This window comes from Homo sapiens, chromosome 9 (genome assembly GCF_000001405.40).
Source record: "Homo sapiens chromosome 9, GRCh38.p14 Primary Assembly".
In the NCBI taxonomy this organism is placed as follows: Eukaryota; Metazoa; Chordata; class Mammalia; order Primates; family Hominidae; genus Homo; species Homo sapiens.
This window is the reverse complement of record NC_000009.12, coordinates 104,922,578-104,940,627: the sequence shown is the minus strand read 5'-3', so window position 1 is coordinate 104,940,627 and position 18,050 is coordinate 104,922,578. Positions and strand designations below refer to the sequence as shown.

Below are 18,050 nucleotides of genomic sequence, written 5' to 3'. Positions count from 1 at the left end.
AGGGATTAGGCCAGGTGCGGTGGCTCACGTGTGTAATCCCAGCACTTTAGGAGGCTGAGGCGGGCGGATCACGAGGTCAAGAGTTTGAGACCAGGCTGACCAACATGGTGAAACCCTGTCTGTATTAAAAATACAAAAATTAGCTGGGCACGGTGGCAGGCGCCTGTAATCCCAGCTACTCAGGAGGCTGAGGCAGGAGAATTGCTTGAACCTAGGAGGCGGCGGTTGCAGTGAGCCAAGATCACACCACTGCACTCCAGCCTGGGTGACAGAGTGAGACTCTGTGTCAAAAACAAAAATAAATACAAAAACAAAAACAAAAACAAAACAAAACAAAAAACAAGGATTAGTGAGGACTTTGCAAAGTGCAAACAGCATGCTCCATCTAAAGAGAGCTTTTCAGTACTAGCTGATTGTTGTTGTGTGGAAATACGTCTTGTATGGTGAGATCTTCCACCTTTTCAACAGAAATGAGAAACACAAACATTTCTGTGTGACACTTCCAAACTTGTTGGCTATTTCTGTTTTTCTTTTTTTCTTTCTTTCTTTCTTTTTTTTTTTTGAGGCAGAGTTTTGCTCTCGTTGCCCAGGCTGGAGTGCAATGACGTGATCTTGGCTCGCCGCAACCTCTGCCTCCTGGATTCAAGCGATTCTCCTGCCTCAGCCTCCCAAGTAGCTGAGACATGTGCCGCCATGCCTGACTCATTTTGTATTTTTAGTAGAGACGGGGTTTCTCCATGTTGGTCAGGCTGGTCTCGAACTCCTGACCTCAGGTGATCCATCTGCCTAGGCCTCTCAAAGTGCAGGGATTATGGGTGTGAGCCACTGCGCCCGGCCCTAGTTGGTTATTTCAAACAAAATACTAACACTCTTCAGCCCAAACCATGTGTCAGAGAGCTGGGTGTGGCCAGTGGGCCCCTGGTGTGCAACTAGTCTTCAGTGATGCTACTGTATGCTAGTGACAGCACAACTGACCACTGAAAATATGGTGCACGATGGTGAACAGATTGGATTTCCCGTATCTCTAGAACCCCAGGGCTTTGAGGCAATTCTGATAGATGGAGGGGGAGCGAGAGAGAGAAAGAGGAGGGAGAGGTATCACATGAAAGAGATACTGGACTTTCTGCTAATAAATGGGTGGGTATTTGGGTGAGTAGATAGGAAATTAAAAAGAAATATGAGAGATGGGCGTGGTGGCTTGTGCCTGTAATCCCAGTGACTTGGGAGGCTGAGGTGGGAGTATTGTTTGAGACCAGGAGTTTGAGATCAGTCTGGGCAGCATAGTGAGACCCCGTCCCTAAACATAAAATTTTAAAAAATCAGCTAAGCGTGGTGGTGCGTGCCTGTAATCCCAGCTACTTAGGAGGCTGAGGCAGGAGGATCCCTTGAGCCCAGGAGTTAGAGGCTGCAGTGAGCTATGATTGTGCCATTTTACACTAGCCTGGGTGAGAAAGCAAGACTCCCACATCTGAGACAGAGAGAGAGGAGAGAGGCAGACCATATTTGAACTCCAGGCTGGTGAATAATTCATACTGATTAATTTAATTGAAAATATTTATTTAAAATTTGCAGATCGGAGTTTTGGAAAGGTTACATTTATTAAATTATTGTTGGACTATGAGGAACACATTGTTGCTTGGAATAATATTTAATTATGATGATGATGATGATGATAATAAATGACAATAATAAACAACTATCATTTATTGAGCACATACCATATACCAGGCCCAGTACCAAGCAGTTCACATATATTATACATCTAATACCCAGAGCAACTCTATAAGGCAGCTCTATATGTTGCTTCCATTTGAAAGATGAATAAACTGAGGTACAGAGATGTGAAGTAACATGCTGATGGACACCCAGATATGATCTGCAGATAAGAAGGATAAGTCAGAAGATCAGATAAGCAGAAAGGTTTAAACACACAGGACTTTCATTTAGTAGTAAACTCTTATGATTGGTCTAAAATTCTATTTTCTTTTACAGTTTACCTACTCATCAAATCTGTCTTAACTATTTTTGTCTCTCCAAATTCTCTTCTGTTCTTTGTTACTATGTACACATGCTTTTAAAATATGTTAGGATTTGCTGTTTCCATGTGTTAATTTCTTGTTTGCCTTTCTTCATTTATAAACTCTTTCCTCCTACTAATTATTGACAAACTCTATTTTTCTTTTTTTTTTTGAAAAACTCTATTTTTCATATCATTTTTCTAAATTTAAAAATAGCATATAAGGCTGGGCATGGTGGCTCACACCTGTAATCCCAGCACTTTGGGAGGCTGAGGCGGGTGGATCACCTGAGGTTGGGAGTTTGAGACCAGCCTGGCCAACATGGTGAAACCCTGTCTCAACTAAAATTACAAAAAAAAAAAGTTAGCCGGGCATGGTGATGGGCACCTGTAGTCCCAGCTACTCAGGAGATTGAGGCAGGAGAATCGCTTGAACCCGGGAGGTGGAGGTTGCAGTGAGCCGAGATGGGGCCACTGCATTCCAACCTGGGCAACAGAGTGAGACCCTGTCTCAAAAAATAAAGTATATATATATATATATATATAAATATTTACGTGTGTGTGTGTGTGTGTGTGTGTGTGTGTGTATACATATATATAGCATGTGTTTATTTTATAAATTTTGTAAAATACAGACATATATGAAAAAATTACCTATAATCTTACCATCCACAGGTGATTGCTGTTAGCACCTATCTGGGATTTTTTTTTTCTTTTTTCTTTTTCTTTTTTTTTTTTTTTTGCAGTCTTTTCTAGGCACATATATTCAATGAAAAAGGTTATCAATATAGTAACAGTTATTTTTTATTGAATGTTAACCATACACATAAATATAGCTTTGCTTTTTTTTTCAATTCGCATTTACCATGAGCAGTTTCCTATATCACAACTCTTTGAAAACATTATTTTCACCTTTCATGGCTATATAACATTCTATCATGTGAATTTATCAATGTGTATTTTAGAATTGTTATCAGATGATTAAGCATTTTTAAAATGTTCACTCATCAATAAAATAGTGACAACATTCTTGAACATAAGTTTTTTTTACCATACTATCGGATATTTCCTTAGTATAAATTCCTCCAAGTAAAATTAGTGGGCCAAAGGCTTTTTTTTTTTGAGGCGGAGTTTCGCTCTCGTTGCCCAGGCTGGAGTGCAATGGTGTGATCTCGGTTCACCACAACCTCCTCCTCCCAGGTTCAAGCAATTCTCCTGCCTCAGCCTCCTGAGTAGCTGGGATTACAGGCATGCACTACCATGCCTGGCTAATTTTGTAGTTTTAGTAGAGACAGGGTTTCTCCATGTTGGTCAGGCTGGTCTCAAACTCCTGACCTCAGGTGATCTGCATGCCTCGGCCTCCCAAAGTGCTGGGATTACAGGCATGAGCCACTGGTCCTGGACCAAAGCCTCTTGATACATTTTGCTAAACTATCAGAATGTTGGGCCTCTTTGCACCCTACTAACACCCTCAGTTTTTATGAGTATGATTACATTATTTTCCCTCTTTTCCCCAACCTCCTATTCTATTTTCCTTAGATACCTTAAGACTGCACCCCCAACTTAGCTTTCTGTTCTCATTCAGGCAGTGTGTCCAGGGCTTCCAATCCCAGTGGTGAGTAGGCAGATGTGGGGGCTTCCTGTTGAACTCTGTTAGGTAATTGAGCCACTCAAGGGGAAACCAGCTTTGGGGTCCGCTCTGTGGCAAGCCCAGGACTCTATGAATGGAGCTCATTCCTCACTAATTTACACACCAGGACAAGTAGCCAGCTAAGAAATTGCTCTAATTTCACTGGACGTCAGTCACCAGAAGAATGGAGATACAGAAGGAAAATAAAAGGCCTGCTCCCACAGTGGGGTCATAGCACATCTCCACATTTAACCTTTGACAAGGCAAAAGTATTTCTTCTGTCCAGACAATTCCAGAAGTCATAAGGAATACTGGGCAAGGATGGGTCAAAACAACACAGACTATTGAGGGCAACAAAGGAAAAACCATGCACTCCTGAAGAAATCGTTCCCAAAATGCTGAAAGAGAAAGAGGATTGTCTCTCTAGAAGTCTAATAGAAAACAGTATCTGGAACATTTCCTAGGATTTTTTTTTTTTCTAATGACTTACTCTCTTATTAATATGTCAGAGAAAAGAAAAGCTCCTGGCTAAGAAATAAAACAGTCCCTCATCCCAGAAATCACAGCCAGGAATATGGATTCTTAAGTGTCAAAAAAGTACTCTGAATAAGGAAAGAAACGCAGATGCACTACTTCTATTATAATAAGCGCTTGATTTCTTTTAATCCCCTGAGTCCAATTATTTTCTTGGCAAATTTAAGGGTACTGACTGCTTCTGTGAATCTATTGTTACACTTGATAATGGATCTGAGTTGGGGGTAATATTTGCCTATCAATTTGGATACTTAAAAATCTCTCTCTCTTTCTTCATATACCCTCTATCTCACAACTTTCCATTTAATGAGGGAAGTGAATTTCTTTTTTCTGCCCCTCTTTCCTACTGCTTCTAGAATAAAAGCATAACAGGACGACAGGAGTGGAGATGAGAGGAAGCATTTCCAAGCAATGGGAAAGTATGATGAGAGTCGTGAGTTGGTAGAATGGGGGTGAGTAAGGGGTGGGGTGTGGATGGATGGAAGAGGATGGAGGAGGAAGCAGGTCATATGATCAGGCTTCAAAGGCCTTCCAATATCTTGTTTTCAGAGGCTTTGTAGGTCTTCTTACAGAACTTTGAGGGTATTTTTCCTTTGTGAGCAAAGGAGAACCATAGTAAATTTTGAGGGATGGGCTGGGCGCGGTGGCTCACGCCTGTAATCCCAGCACTGTGGCAGGCAGAGGCAGGTGGATCATTTGAGGTCAGGAGTTCGAGACCAGCCTGGCCAAAATGGTGAAACCCCGTCTCTACTGAAAAAACAAAAAGTTAGTTGGATGTGGTTGCATGTGCCTATAACTCCAGCTACTCGGGCAGCTGAGGCAGCAGACTTGCTGGAACCCGGGAGGCAGATGTTGCAATGAGTTGAGATTGTGCCACTGCACTCCAGTCTGGGAGACAGAGTGAGACTCCATCTCAAAAAAAAAGAAATTTTTTTTTTTGGAGGGAGAAAATATATGATTAGATTGTTTTTGTGTTGGTTTGCTTGTTTGTTTTTTTCCCCAAGCAAAAAATCACTTTACTGCAATAGGGAAGACAAATAGGAAGGGGAAGAAACTAGAGACAGGAACAGCAGTTTGGAGGTTCTGCAATACAGAAGCCCAGATGTTTGGCTTGGACTTAGACACTGGGAATGAAAAATAAATGATGAATTAAAAAAATAAAATATTTGGGAGGTATACTTGACCTGACCTTGGTGCTTTTTCAAATGAGAAGAGAAAGATAGAGACAGATGAAAAAGTTAAGCAAGGATGACTATGATTTCCCATAGTGAATGTCTGGATGATGATATCATTAAATGAAAATTTTTAAAAAGGCAGATGGTAGAAGGAGATTTGAAGGAAAGACAAGAAATTTGTTTGTTTTGGATTTACTTGTAGAATGACCTGCAAAATTTTGTCCTAATAAATGTTAACAAGTGGCTTTCCATACAAAAACCAAACCAAACAAAACCCTGATGTAAACCAAAAATAAAATTCTGAGGCCCCCCTTCACCATCTGAATGAACTTCCTCCTCTGCAAGGGCACTCTTAAAATTTAACATGAAAGACTGGTTCAGGTCATGACGGGAAGTGGGGGTCGGACAGGCCTCATTATGCCTCTCTGGCATTAACATCAACACAGACCTTAAGTCTGTTAAGAAGCATTTACAATCTATTCTCTCTGAAGCCTGCTACCTGAAGGCTTCCTCTGCACACTGAGAACTTTGGTCTCCACAATCCTTTATCTTAAGCCAGACATTTCCTTTCTATTGATCCCAGGTCTTTAGATAAACTCAACCAATTGTCAACCAGAAAAATTTTAAATCTATCTATAACCTAGAAGCCCCCACTTCAAGTTGCCCTGCCTTTTTGAACTGAACCAATGTATTTCTTAAACTTATTTGATTGAAGTCTCATATCTCCCTAAAAACCAAGCTGCACCCCAACCACCTTGGGTGCATGTTCTTAGGATCTCCTGAGGGCTGTCTCCTGAGGGCCAAGATCACTCATATTTGGCTCACCATAAATCTCTAAATATTTTACAGAGTTTTACTCTTTTCATCGACACTGATTTATATTGGATTTCCAATGGTGTAATATTCATGCCGTTGGCCGATTTCAAGCTAGCTGGTAGAGATATGCAAACAAACAAACAAACAAAAAGAGATATGCAAAAACAACTCTTGTGAGCTTGTGTGCTGGCTCCAACACACCATGCTGCTGGATATTCTACCAGGCAGCATAGGGCGCACGGTGGGTGAGCCTGGCAAGGAGACAAGAGCTGGAGGTACAGGGCTTAAATGAAGCCAAGGGCGTGAATAATATTGATGAGGAGAGCAAGTAGAAATGAAAAGAGAAAACCAGTATTAGGAGATCTATAAAGAAACAATAGTCAGAAAAAGAGTGGTTAAAGAGGCAGAAGAATCAGAAGAGAACCAGATTCATGAAATAAAAGAGAGGAATCAGTTTCAGGAAGGAAAGTGTGGTCAGTAGTGTCAAATACCAGAGACTGAATAGCCTAAGGATTTAAAAGAGGTCAACAGCACCACCAATTAAGCGGTTTTTCTGAGCTTAAGATATTTTTCTTTATTTTTCTATGTTAAAAATATTTTATAAAGAAAAAGAAAAAAAGAGATCACATTTGCCCCCCCAACCCGTCCCTGGCCTCTCTCTCTCTAAGGAAGTCGTTAATGAATTTGGGCAGAATAGATTCAGAGCTGTGAGAGTGAAAATTTGACTGCAGTGGGTGAGGTGTTAATAAAAGGGAGGGGGTAGAGATGAAATCTTTCCAGCAGTTTGGCTCTTAAGGGGATAGCTTGAAGGAAAGAGGGTTGGAAGGGTGGTTTTTAAAAAGAATTATCACTCACTAATCAACTAGAAATCCAGTGGAATATGCAGTACTTGTCTGTAATCCAGCAGGCTAACTTTTTTTTTTTTTTTTTTTTGAGACGGAGTCTCGCTCTGTCACCCAGGCTGGAGTGCAGTGGCATGATCTTGGCTTACCGCAACCTCTGCCTCCCAGTTCAAGCAATTCTCTTGCCTCAGCCTCCCAAGTAGCTGGAACTACAGGCATGCACCACCATGCATGGCTAAATTTTTTTTGAATTTTTAGTAGAGATGAGTTTCACCATGTTGGTCAGGCTGGTCTCAAATTCCTGACCTCAAGTGATCACCCGCCTCAACCTCCCAAAGTGCTGGGATTACAGGCCAGAGCCACAGTGCCCAGCCAAGGCTAACCTCTTGATCCCAATGACAAACAGAACAAACATCTTACTCAAGTCCAGAAGCAATAATAATTTTGAATCTTGCTTGCATGTCAACAGGAGCCACATTAATACAGAAGAGGATCACATTGGTCCAATTAAATTGAATTGATTGAGAGCCTCTGCAATACACGGTCTACTGCACAAATAATGATGGTTCCTGGTACATTTTTATTTGACCATTGATTGCTCGATTTGTTTCTGTGTCTAACTGTGTATTGGAATTAAGCTGACTCAATTTGAACTGCAGGTCCTTTTATCCCTCTTATTTTTTATTTATTTATTTATTTTATTTTAAGGCATTTCTCACTCTCCAGAAAATCTCTAAGATTTCAGCTATTAGGCATTTGTCTTTTTTTTTTTTTTTTTTTTTTTTTTTGAGACTGAGTCTTGCTGGGTTGCCCAGGCTGGAATGCAGTGTCACAATCTCGGCTCATCACAACCTCCACCTCCCTGATTCAAGTGATTCTCCTGCCTCAGACTCCCGAGTAGCTGTGACTATAGGTGCAAACCACCACGCCCAGCTAATTTTTGTATTTTTAGTAGAGACAGGTTTTCACTATGTTGGCCAAGCTGGTCTCAAACTCCTAACCTCAAGTGATCTGCCCGCCTTGGCCTCCCAAAGTGCTGGGATTATAGGCATGAGCCACCGTGCCCCACCAGGTCTTCTTAATCATAACAAATTCATCTTAAAACATCATTTTAAAATATATTATTTTTTATTCTTCATTGACTTCCTGCATTACTCTATTTTTTCAGAGTTTCTAGCAACCAGTATCATTGGTATTTTAAACAATGTGTACATGTACATTTATGCAGATGAGTTAACATATATCAAAGCAACCTCCAAACAATGCCATTTAGGTAATCTCCAATTTAAAAGCCTCAATAGAATGATAAGATTGAGCTTTTCTGTAGTTCCATGACCTCCAGCAGAGTCTGCAAGGCCACAGCTGCCTGAAGGTTGATTCTGTAATTAGAAGATGCCAGGGTCATCTCAGAATAGAACCTCAAGCCACCCAGGCTACATTTACAGAATCAGCCTCTCCAGAAAAACAGCAACAAAGGAGGGCCTTCCTATGTATTTGGAAGGAGTCACCTAGAGGAGGGACTTGGGGTTTTGGTGTTGGTGTGGGGGGCAGGGATGGGATGGGGAGGGGGAAGCTTATTGAAATATACTAAAAGACAAACCAACCTAAGGGCTGGAGGGAAGAAAATTCACACTTGTAAGCTTCTTTTTTAAGGGGCATCTCTTAGGCTCTAGCTTTTGAGATTCAGTATATATATATTTTTGAGTCTTGCTCTGCTGGAGTGCAGTGGTGTGATCTGGGCTCACTGCAAGTTCTGCCTCTCAGGTTCACACCATTCTTCTGCCTCAGCCTCCCGAGCAGCTGGGACTACAGGCGCCTGCCACCATGCCCAGCTAATTTTTTGTATTTTTAGTAGAGACGGGGTTTCACCCTGTTAGCCAGGATGGTCTCGATCTCCTGATCTCATGATCCGCCCGCCTCGGCCTCCCAAAATGCTGGGATTACAGGCGTGAGCCACCGCGCCCGGCCCAGTATTTTTGTTTTATGAAGATATTACATTTGTAAAGTATGAGCTTGGTGTCAGCAAACTTATATCCCTGTGTACAAACTGGCCGAATCACTTAGCCACTTTGGGCCAAATCACTTAGCTCTTCTAACAGTAAGAAATCAACAAGAAAAATAAACATTTCAAACATTACAATGTGTTCATGTATTCACTGTGGGGGATGACCAGATTCTCGAAACCACAGGTTGTTCTTAGTGAAACAAGTTTGGGTTGGGGCCATAGACTTGTGTATTTAGAATCAATGGCTGTTCTCTCTCTGGGACTTTGATTTTTTTCTTGGGCTCATCCCCTTTTTGTAGTATCTTATCTTTGTCTTATTTGTATAGGACTTAACTGTTCCCATTCCCTTATTAGAGCAATCTAAGTGATTACCTTCATACCTTTTGGAATTATATGCTTCAAAATTCCAAAAAGAATGATTTTGGGCTGGGCACAGTGGCTCACACCTATAATTCCAGCACTTTGAGAGGCTGAGGTGGATCGCCTGAGGTCAGGAGTTTGAGACCAACCTGGCCAACATAGTGAAACCCCGTCTCTACTAAAAAATATAAAAAATTAGCCGGGCATGGTGGCAGGTGCCTGTAATCTCAGCTACTCGGGAGGTGGAGGTTGCAATGAGCCCAGATCGCACCATTGCACTCCAGCCTGGGCAACAAAAGGTGAAACTCCATCTCAATTAAAAAAAAAATAATGATTTTGGTGGTCGACTTCAAATAGGTAGGAGAAGAAGGAGAGAGGAGATGGAGGGTCAGGGAGATCTAATTACTCTCTAAAATCATGCTAGGAAAGATAACACCTTTTAATAACACTCTCTGCTTTTATAACATCATTCTGCCAAGGAGCTCAAAGGTTTCAACAAAGTTCACTTTCAGAAAACCCCTTTGAGGAAGACAGAATATACATCTTCTCTCCATTTTAAAGATGAAGAAACAGGCCGGGCACAATGGCTAATGCCTGTAATCCCAGCACTTTGGGAGGCTGAGGCCAGAGGATCGCTTGAGCTCCAGAGTTTGAGACCAGCCTGGATAACATGGCAAAACCCTGTCTCTACAAAAAAAATACGAAAATTAGATGGGTGTGGTGGCATGCACCTGTGGTCCCAGCTACTTGGGAGGCTAAGGTGGGAGGATCGCTTGAGCCCAGGGAGTCAAGTCTACACTGAGCCATGATTGGATCACTGCACTCCAGCCTGGGTAGACAGAGCAAGACCCTGTCTCAAAAAAAAGAAATGAAAGAGAAAGAAAGAAAGAGGAGAGGAGAGGAGATGAGGGGAGGGGAGGGGAGGAGGGAGGGGGGGAGGAAGGAAGGAAGGAAGGAAGGAAAAAAAGATGAAAAAAGAAAAAAACAAGATGAAACAGAGGCAGAAAGACTTTACGTAAATTGCTCATCATGTGGTTGTCAAGTTTGACCCCAAAACCCAATTTATTGACCAAGGTTATTCTTTGACTGAGGCAAGGGGGTCCGCTCTCCTGGGCCTTGGGCTTTAGAAAGCTCATCTCTGGCCTTTCTGAGATCCATCCCTTTCTTTTTATTTTTCTTGACACGGAGTCTTGCTCTGTCACTCAGGCTGGAGTGCAGTGGCATGATCTCGACTCACTGTAACCTCTGCCTCCCGGGTTCAAGCGATTCTCCTGCCTCAGCCTCCTGAGATAACAGGCGCTCGCCACCACATCTGGCTAATTTTTGTATTTTTAGTAAAGACTGGGTTTCATCATGTTGGCCAGGTTGGTTTCGAACTCCTGACCTGAGGTGAGCTGCCCACCTTGGCCTCCCAAAGTGCTGGGATTACAGGCATGAGCCACTGCGCCCAGCTCAGATCCATCCCTTTCTAAGGGCAAACAGTCCATGGTGCAAAGGGGCCATGCCACCCAGAGTTATGAGTACCTGGGACTCCAGAATTCCTTGCCTGGTGGCCTCCACATGCACTTCCAGGGCCTGCTTGGGCCTCTTCTATGGGTCTGTCCTGAGTGTTGATAGAACCACTGATGTGAGTACCTGGGCTTGAGCCGTGGCCTGGAGATCCTGTTGACTGTAGCATGGAGGGGGCTTGTGCAGCTGAATGTCTGTATGCAGGTGGTGGGAGTTCTGGAATATGATGGAGCTGGAGGTGGGAAGAGAAGTAGGCTTGGGGCAGCTCTCTCATGCCACCTCATTCTGGCCAAAACTCAGGTCAAACTGTGAAGAGTCTAAATGTGAATCTGCCCTTCAAGGTGGCTACAAAGGTATCTTTGTCAAGGTAGGAGACCTTGTGGCCTCCACGTGCACTTCCAGGGCCTGCTTGGGCCTCTTCTACGGGTCTGTCCTGAGTCTTCTATGAATCTGCCCTTCAGGGCAGATTCATATTTAGACTCTTCACAGTTTGACCTGAGTTTTGGCCAGAATAAGGTGACATTTAGTTTGTTGGCTTGATGGATGACTTAAATATTTAGACATATGGTGTGTAGGCCTGCATTCCTACTCTTGCCTTTTTTTTTGCCCCTCCAGTGTTTTGGGTAGTTTTGCTCCCCTACAGCCAAAGGCAAACAGATAAGTTGGAGGTCTGGAGTGGCTACATAATTTTACACGACTGCAATTCTCTGGCTGCACTTCACAAATGTATACAAACTAAATACAAGTCCTGTGTTTTTATCACAGGGAGGCTGATCAATATAATGAAATTAAAAGGGGGCTGGTCCATATTGTTCTGTGTTTTTGTTTGTTTGTTTCTTTTTTTGTTTTTGTGGCCTCCTTCCTCTCAATTTATGAAGAGAAGCAGTAAGATGTTCCTCTCGGGTCCTCTGAGGGACCTGGGGAGCTCAGGCTGGGAATCTCCAAGGCAGTAGGTCGCCTATCAAAAATCAAAGTCCAGGTTTGTGGGGGGAAAACAAAAGCAGCCCATTACCCAGAGGACTGTCCGCCTTCCCCTCACCCCAGCCTAGGCCTTTGAAAGGAAACAAAAGACAAGACAAAATGATTGGCGTCCTGAGGGAGATTCAGCCTAGAGCTCTCTCTCCCCCAATCCCTCCCTCCGGCTGAGGAAACTAACAAAGGAAAAAAAAATTGCGGAAAGCAGGATTTAGAGGAAGCAAATTCCACTGGTGCCCTTGGCTGCCGGGAACGTGGACTAGAGAGTCTGCGGCGCAGCCCCGAGCCCAGCGCTTCCCGCGCGTCTTAGGCCGGCGGGCCCGGGCGGGGGAAGGGGACGCAGACCGCGGACCCTAAGACACCTGCTGTACCCTCCACCCCCACCCCACCCACCTCCCCCCAACTCCCTAGATGTGTCGTGGGCGGCTGAACGTCGCCCGTTTAAGGGGCGGGCCCCGGCTCCACGTGCTTTCTGCTGAGTGACTGAACTACATAAACAGAGGCCGGGAACGGGGCGGGGAGGAGGGAGAGCACAGGCTTTGACCGATAGTAACCTCTGCGCTCGGTGCAGCCGAATCTATAAAAGGAACTAGTCCCGGCAAAAACCCCGTAATTGCGAGCGAGAGTGAGTGGGGCCGGGACCCGCAGAGCCGAGCCGACCCTTCTCTCCCGGGCTGCGGCAGGGCAGGGCGGGGAGCTCCGCGCACCAACAGAGCCGGTTCTCAGGGCGCTTTGCTCCTTGTTTTTTCCCCGGTTCTGTTTTCTCCCCTTCTCCGGAAGGCTTGTCAAGGGGTAGGAGAAAGAGACGCAAACACAAAAGTGGAAAACAGGTAAGAGGCTCTCCAGTGACTTACTTGGGCGTTATTGTTTTGTTTCGAGGCCAAGGAGGCTTCGGGAAGTGCTCGGTTTCGGGGACTTTGATCCGGAGCCCCACATCCCCACCACTTGCAACTCAGATGGGACCGGAGGCGGTGTTAAATGGGGAGACGATGTCCTAGTACGAGCTCTGGTGACCCCAGGACTCTGCGCTGCTGCGCTTGGGGCTTGCCCGACGGTGGAGACCGGGGAGCATCTCTGGGCGTGGAGACCCGGGCGCAGTACCCCGGGCTCAGAGGGGTCGGGGGTTCCCGGGCGTGCTGAGGGCGCTGCTGCCGGGTGGGGAGAGCTGCAGGTCCGGCACCGAGCGCTGCTTTGTTCGGAGGGCCCTGAGCTGGCTAGAAACCCTTCTGGTTGCAGGTCGGCCAGTACCTACGGAGACAAATGCCAGCACTGAGTCTTCACTCGGTTCTTAAGAAGCTGGTCTGTTCTGACCTGGGAATTGGCTATATGCTCCCCGGGACTGGAGCGGCACAGTCCCGGACTGTGAATCCGGGAACTCGAGTTGGAGGTGTCCCAAACGGTCCGTGGTGCTATTGCTCACTAGAGGCCTTGGGTCTTTGTTTGACCTGAGGGGTAGGGAGGTCCTGCCTACAGTCTCCGTGCGCTCAGCTGAGCTGGTGTCCCTGGCGCAGAGCGCGGACGAGTTTTGTTTCCTTTTCTTTTTCTTTTTTTTCTTTCCTTTAAGTCTCGGTCTGTCGCCCAGGCTGGAGTGCAATGGAACGATCTCCGCTCACTGCAACCTCCGCCTCCCGGGTTCAAGCGATTCTCCTGCCTCAGCCTCCTGAGTAGCTGGGATTACAGGCGCGTCACCACATCCAGCTAATTTTTGTATTTTTAGTAGAGACGGGGTTTCAACTTGTTGGCCAGGCTGGTCTCGAACCCTCGACCTCAGGTGATCCACCGGCCTCGGCCTCCCCAAGTGCTGGGATTATAGGCGTGAGCCACCGCGCGCGGCCGAGTTTTGTTTCTTTTAAAAACAAGACTTAGGAGAGCCTGCGGAGACCCGGAGGTGGGGTGCCCAATCCTCCCTCTCCCACGTTCCCTGCAGCCCCATCTTCCAGACCGTTGCTGCTGGTCTCTCGGGGCAGCTTCTGCCTGGGCGCAGATGGGGAAGCTGGGCCGAGGTGGTGCCGTGGAATGACCGGGAGTAACCCCGGCGGGCGGCGCAGAACTCGGAGCTCCGCCGCGGGGCTGGGCTGGGCTCTGCCGTGAGGGTGGGGGTGCTGGGCGCGCGGGCTGCGGTGGCCCCCGGAGACTGGCCCGCAGCGCCTCCTGGCCGGAGGACCTAGGAATCGGCCGGCTCTACTAGGTGTCTTTGCTCGCGGTTCCGACTGTGAATCCGGTGAAGACCGGTGGTTGCAGACGGGGAGGAACTATGAGGTTGAGGCGAAAGCCCGTTTTGTTTTTTTTTTTTTGTTTTTTTGGTTTTTTTTTTTGTTAGCGTGTTTGCCAACTCCCAGGCCATTGGTAAAGCAGGAAGGTTCTTGGGGCGGCGGACGGTGCCAGGGTTATGTGTAGGTGCCTCTTTAGGTATATCTTTTATCAAAAAGAAGCAAAGAAATAAGATTAAAAATAAACAAAGAAAAAAGTTGTCTGGCACTGGCAGTAATTGGCCTGCCTTTGCAGCACTGATACCATTAGCTTTTAAAATCCGACTTTTCATTGACACTTCAAGAAGAGAATGGGTAGTATATACACATTCATCTCATAGTGGACAAATTTCATATTTAAAAAAACCTTCTGGGTACTGAAATCAGCAAGTCACTTGCCCTCCATGGCCGAATCCCTGCTTCCCACGAAGAGAACCTCACAAAAATTTCCCCCAAGTTAAAGAGTGGAATTTTCTTGATTTTTTTTTCTTTTTTTTTTAACGGCCGTAGTTTAGAACCCAGACTTAAATTATGATCTTCTTTTCAAACAAAACTTAAAGTCCTTAAGTTTTCATCTCCCCTTTTATTTCAACCTATTCTTCTCATACCTACCACAAAAATAATGGAGGCTTTCTGTTGAGAAACTTTCCGTTTCTGTTGAGAGTATCATTCTCTTGAGAAACTTTCTCCTAAATCAGAGAAAGTATGGAAGCATGGAAAGTATTCCTGAGTAGAACCTCTACAGATATTACAATATTTTTCAAATACAAAGTTTCCATTGTCAGCCTGTTTCCCAAGTGCTTCCACAAACCATTAAATAATTCCACAAACCATTAAAATAATTAATGCTAGGGAATTTTAGGAAAACATTGGTTTACAATCAGAAGGACCGGGGAAGTGGGTCTTCAGCCTTCACGATGACTACAAGCCATTTAAGGGACTAGAATTGCTACTGTTGTCAGAGCAATTTAGGAGTCTGTATTTGAGCACCCGCATAGTGTTCCAGAATGACATATCTGACTGTAACCTGGACACGTGTGATATGTTGTCTCCCCTGCAGATGAGCATTTGAAATCTCAACCCTCGTATTTCTACGAGTGCAGGCCTATAATGGACCCTGGGCACATTTTTTTTTTTTTTGAGATGCAGTCTCGCTCTGTTTCCCAGGCTGGAGTGCAGTGGCACGATATGGCTCACTGCAACCTCCACCTCCTGGGTTCAAGAGATTCTCCTGCCTCAGCCTCCTGAGTAGCTGGGACTATAGGCGCACGCCACCATGCCTGGCTAGTTTTTGCATTTTCAGTAGAGACAGAGTTTCACCATGTTGGCCAGGATGGTCTCGATTTCCTGACCTCTTGATCCACCCGCCTCGGCCTCCCAAAGTGCTGGGATTACAGGCGTGAGGCACCGCGCCCGACCCCTGGACACATTTTGACTTAGAACATATTTTCGGTTTGTGTGAGACAGTGCATTAGTGCAGGATTGGAAAAGAGTGATCAGGAATTGATTGTTTTCAAGGATTGGTTCCTTCTGCTCAAGGAAGTCCCATTGTAAACATAAAAAAATGAATGAAACTGAAGAAGTTCAGTGACTTAGCTTTTTATTATCTTCTGTAGTACTTACCTTTTTGGAGAGGAGTTGGTTGGGATATTTTTCCATTTAAATTTTTTTTTTAAAGGGATCTTCTCTCCCGTAAGCCGGGATACTTAAGCTATATATGTAGTGGCTACAAATTAAGGTCTTCACTGTTTTCATTTTTAGCTGCTAGAATAAGTGAACATTACCTTAGATAGACTCTTCTAATTATGAAGATATCTAGATGTCTAGAAAATATCAAAATGCATGTGGTTTTTGCATTTCTAAAATACTTTTAAAACCAAATACTTTTTCTTTTTTTTTTTTTTCTGAGATGGAGTCTTGCTCTTTTGCCTAGGCTGGAGCGCAGTAGAATGATCTTGGCTCACTGCAACTTCCGCCTCTCAGGTTCAGGTGATTCTCCTGCCTCAACCTCCTGAGTAGCTGGGATTACAGGTGCGTGCCACCACACCCGGCTAGTTTTTGTGTTTTTAGTAGGGACAGGGTTTCACCATGTTGGCCAGGCTGGTCTCAAGCTCCTGACCTCAAGTGATCTGCCAGCCTCAGCCTCCCAAAGTGCTGGGATTACAGGCATGAGCCACCACACCTGGCCTCAAATACATTTTTTTAAGTATCCAGATATTAAATAAATAATACCATTATAGTAGTTGTTATGGTCATTTACTCTAGCATCAAATGTTAAAAGATCATTCTGAACACTTGTTTTGTTTATGCTGAGAGAAGGCCTACTCCAAAAAATGCAACCATCTTCGTATCTGCATGTGGATACAACCATGAATGGCCAAAGTTATTGCAGTGTTGAATAGACACTTATATAGCACTGTGTGGCAAGTACTGTTTGAAATGTTTTTCACGTGTTTATTCATTGTATTTATTTTGAGATAGGGTCTTGCTCTGTTGCACAGGGTGGAGTGCAGCTGCACAGACAAGGCTCACTGCAACCTCAGCCTCCTGCGCTCACGTGATCCTCATACATCAGCCTCTTAAGGAGCTGGGGCCACAGGCACGCACCACTGCTCCTGGCTAAATTTTTACAATTTTTTGTAAAGACAAGGTCTCACTATCTTGCTCAGACTGGTCTTGAACTCCTGGGCTCAAGTGATCCTCCCACATCAGCCTCCCAAAGTGCTGGGATTACAGGCATAAGCCACTGTGCAGGTCATCAAATGCTAATTGAATTTTCACAACAAAACCATTTATTGTCCCTAGTTTACAAGATTAAGTAAATGAGAAGCTAATTTTTCTCTGGCTATATACCTTGCAAGAGGCAGAGCTAAGACTTGAACCCAGCCAGAGTTCTTTAACTCCAGCACTAACATTTCAGCTGCTGCAACCAGGGAGCTTTTCAAGGATGATCACCACATTCTCTACATTCATCTGCTATAATCCTTATCAGAATCTACAGCCTGTATCATATTTTCCTTGTTGCTGTGAGTGGGTCAGCCAAATTCTCTTTAACTTGAAACCTTGGTTGCGTAGGGATTGCAACATCCTGGAAAGAATAGAATAAAATTTACTCAACTCAATTTTTTACTTGGTTCATAATGAAAACTATACTATTGCTTCAGTCAGATGTTTGCGAATAGCTGTGTGATCTCAAAATGTTTTCCTATGTGATCTATAGAAAATGGAATGATAGAGTATTAGGCTGTAAGGGCCTAAGAAACAAAGGAAAAAGAGAAGTGAACTGTTAGTTTAGTTGTAAAACCTAACTTTGGTGAATTGTAAAAATTTGTTATAATACAATATGATTCTTGCTTGTCCTGTCCTTGATGAAGTTGTGGACCTTTTGAAATAAGCTATTTCTCTGTTACTGCTGTTACTGTTTAGAAATCAAATTTAGTTTTTTCTTAAGATATACGTATTTTTGGAAGATAAACACAGTTTCAAAGTCTGCCTTGTTGGCTGGGTGCACTGGCTCATTGTTGTATTCCCAGCACTTTGGGAGGCCAAAGCAGGAGGATCACTTGAGGTCAGGAGTTCAAGACCAGCCTGGCAAATATGGTGAAACCCCGTCTCTACTAACAATACAAAAATTAGCTGGGCGTGGTGGTGGGTGCTTGTAATCCCAGCTACTGGGATTGGGAGGCTGAAGTAGAAGAATTGCTTGAACCTGGGAGGCGGAGGTTGCACTGAGTCGAGATCGTGCCACTTTACTCCAACCTGGGCGACAGAGTGAGACTCCGTCTTGAAAAAAAATGTCTGCCTTGTAAAAGTGAAATAGGATGAGAAAGTGCCTTTCTTATTAATTGGTGTAATGAATTAGAAATAAACTCTTTGAAGACACCTCTTGGTAAAAATAGTTACATTTACTGTTGATTTATGGTATGTTGGATATGTTT

The 18,050-nt window shown here is 44.4% G+C and overlaps 1 protein-coding gene and 1 long non-coding RNA gene across 2 annotated transcripts in view, besides 5 other annotated features; one reads left to right on the top strand and one right to left on the bottom strand.

Moving 5' to 3' along the window:
- Positions 1–1,536: 1,536 nt before the first annotated feature.
- Positions 1,537–13,839, bottom strand: LOC105376196 (uncharacterized). The gene is made up of 3 exons (NR_188620.1): positions 12,718–13,839; positions 10,904–11,120; positions 1,537–1,876 (listed from the first exon to the last, which is right to left on the bottom strand). It is a non-coding gene; the product is annotated as an uncharacterized LOC105376196 (long non-coding RNA).
- Positions 12,314–12,503: a silencer, noted in NCBI's record as "silent region_20147". NCBI's record gives its function as "represses an Ori minimal core promoter by ATAC-STARR-seq in GM12878 lymphoblastoid cells {active_cell/tissue: GM12878}" and the evidence as "EXISTENCE:reporter gene assay evidence [ECO:0000049][PMID:35858748]".
- ABCA1 (ATP binding cassette subfamily A member 1) overlaps positions 12,473–18,050 on the top strand; it is a 147,150-nt gene continuing 141,572 nt past the window's right edge. The window contains exon 1 of the mRNA NM_005502.4: positions 12,473–12,693. The gene's annotated coding sequence lies outside the window, so the exon portion shown is untranslated. The remainder of the gene's footprint in view (positions 12,694–18,050) is intronic.
- Positions 12,704–12,783: an enhancer, noted in NCBI's record as "active region_28733". NCBI's record gives its function as "activates an Ori minimal core promoter by ATAC-STARR-seq in GM12878 lymphoblastoid cells {active_cell/tissue: GM12878}" and the evidence as "EXISTENCE:reporter gene assay evidence [ECO:0000049][PMID:35858748]".
- Positions 13,104–13,163: an enhancer, noted in NCBI's record as "active region_28732". NCBI's record gives its function as "activates an Ori minimal core promoter by ATAC-STARR-seq in GM12878 lymphoblastoid cells {active_cell/tissue: GM12878}" and the evidence as "EXISTENCE:reporter gene assay evidence [ECO:0000049][PMID:35858748]".
- Positions 13,840–14,079: a silencer, noted in NCBI's record as "silent region_20146". NCBI's record gives its function as "represses an Ori minimal core promoter by ATAC-STARR-seq in GM12878 lymphoblastoid cells {active_cell/tissue: GM12878}" and the evidence as "EXISTENCE:reporter gene assay evidence [ECO:0000049][PMID:35858748]".
- Positions 16,551–16,600: a silencer, noted in NCBI's record as "silent region_20145". NCBI's record gives its function as "represses an Ori minimal core promoter by ATAC-STARR-seq in GM12878 lymphoblastoid cells {active_cell/tissue: GM12878}" and the evidence as "EXISTENCE:reporter gene assay evidence [ECO:0000049][PMID:35858748]".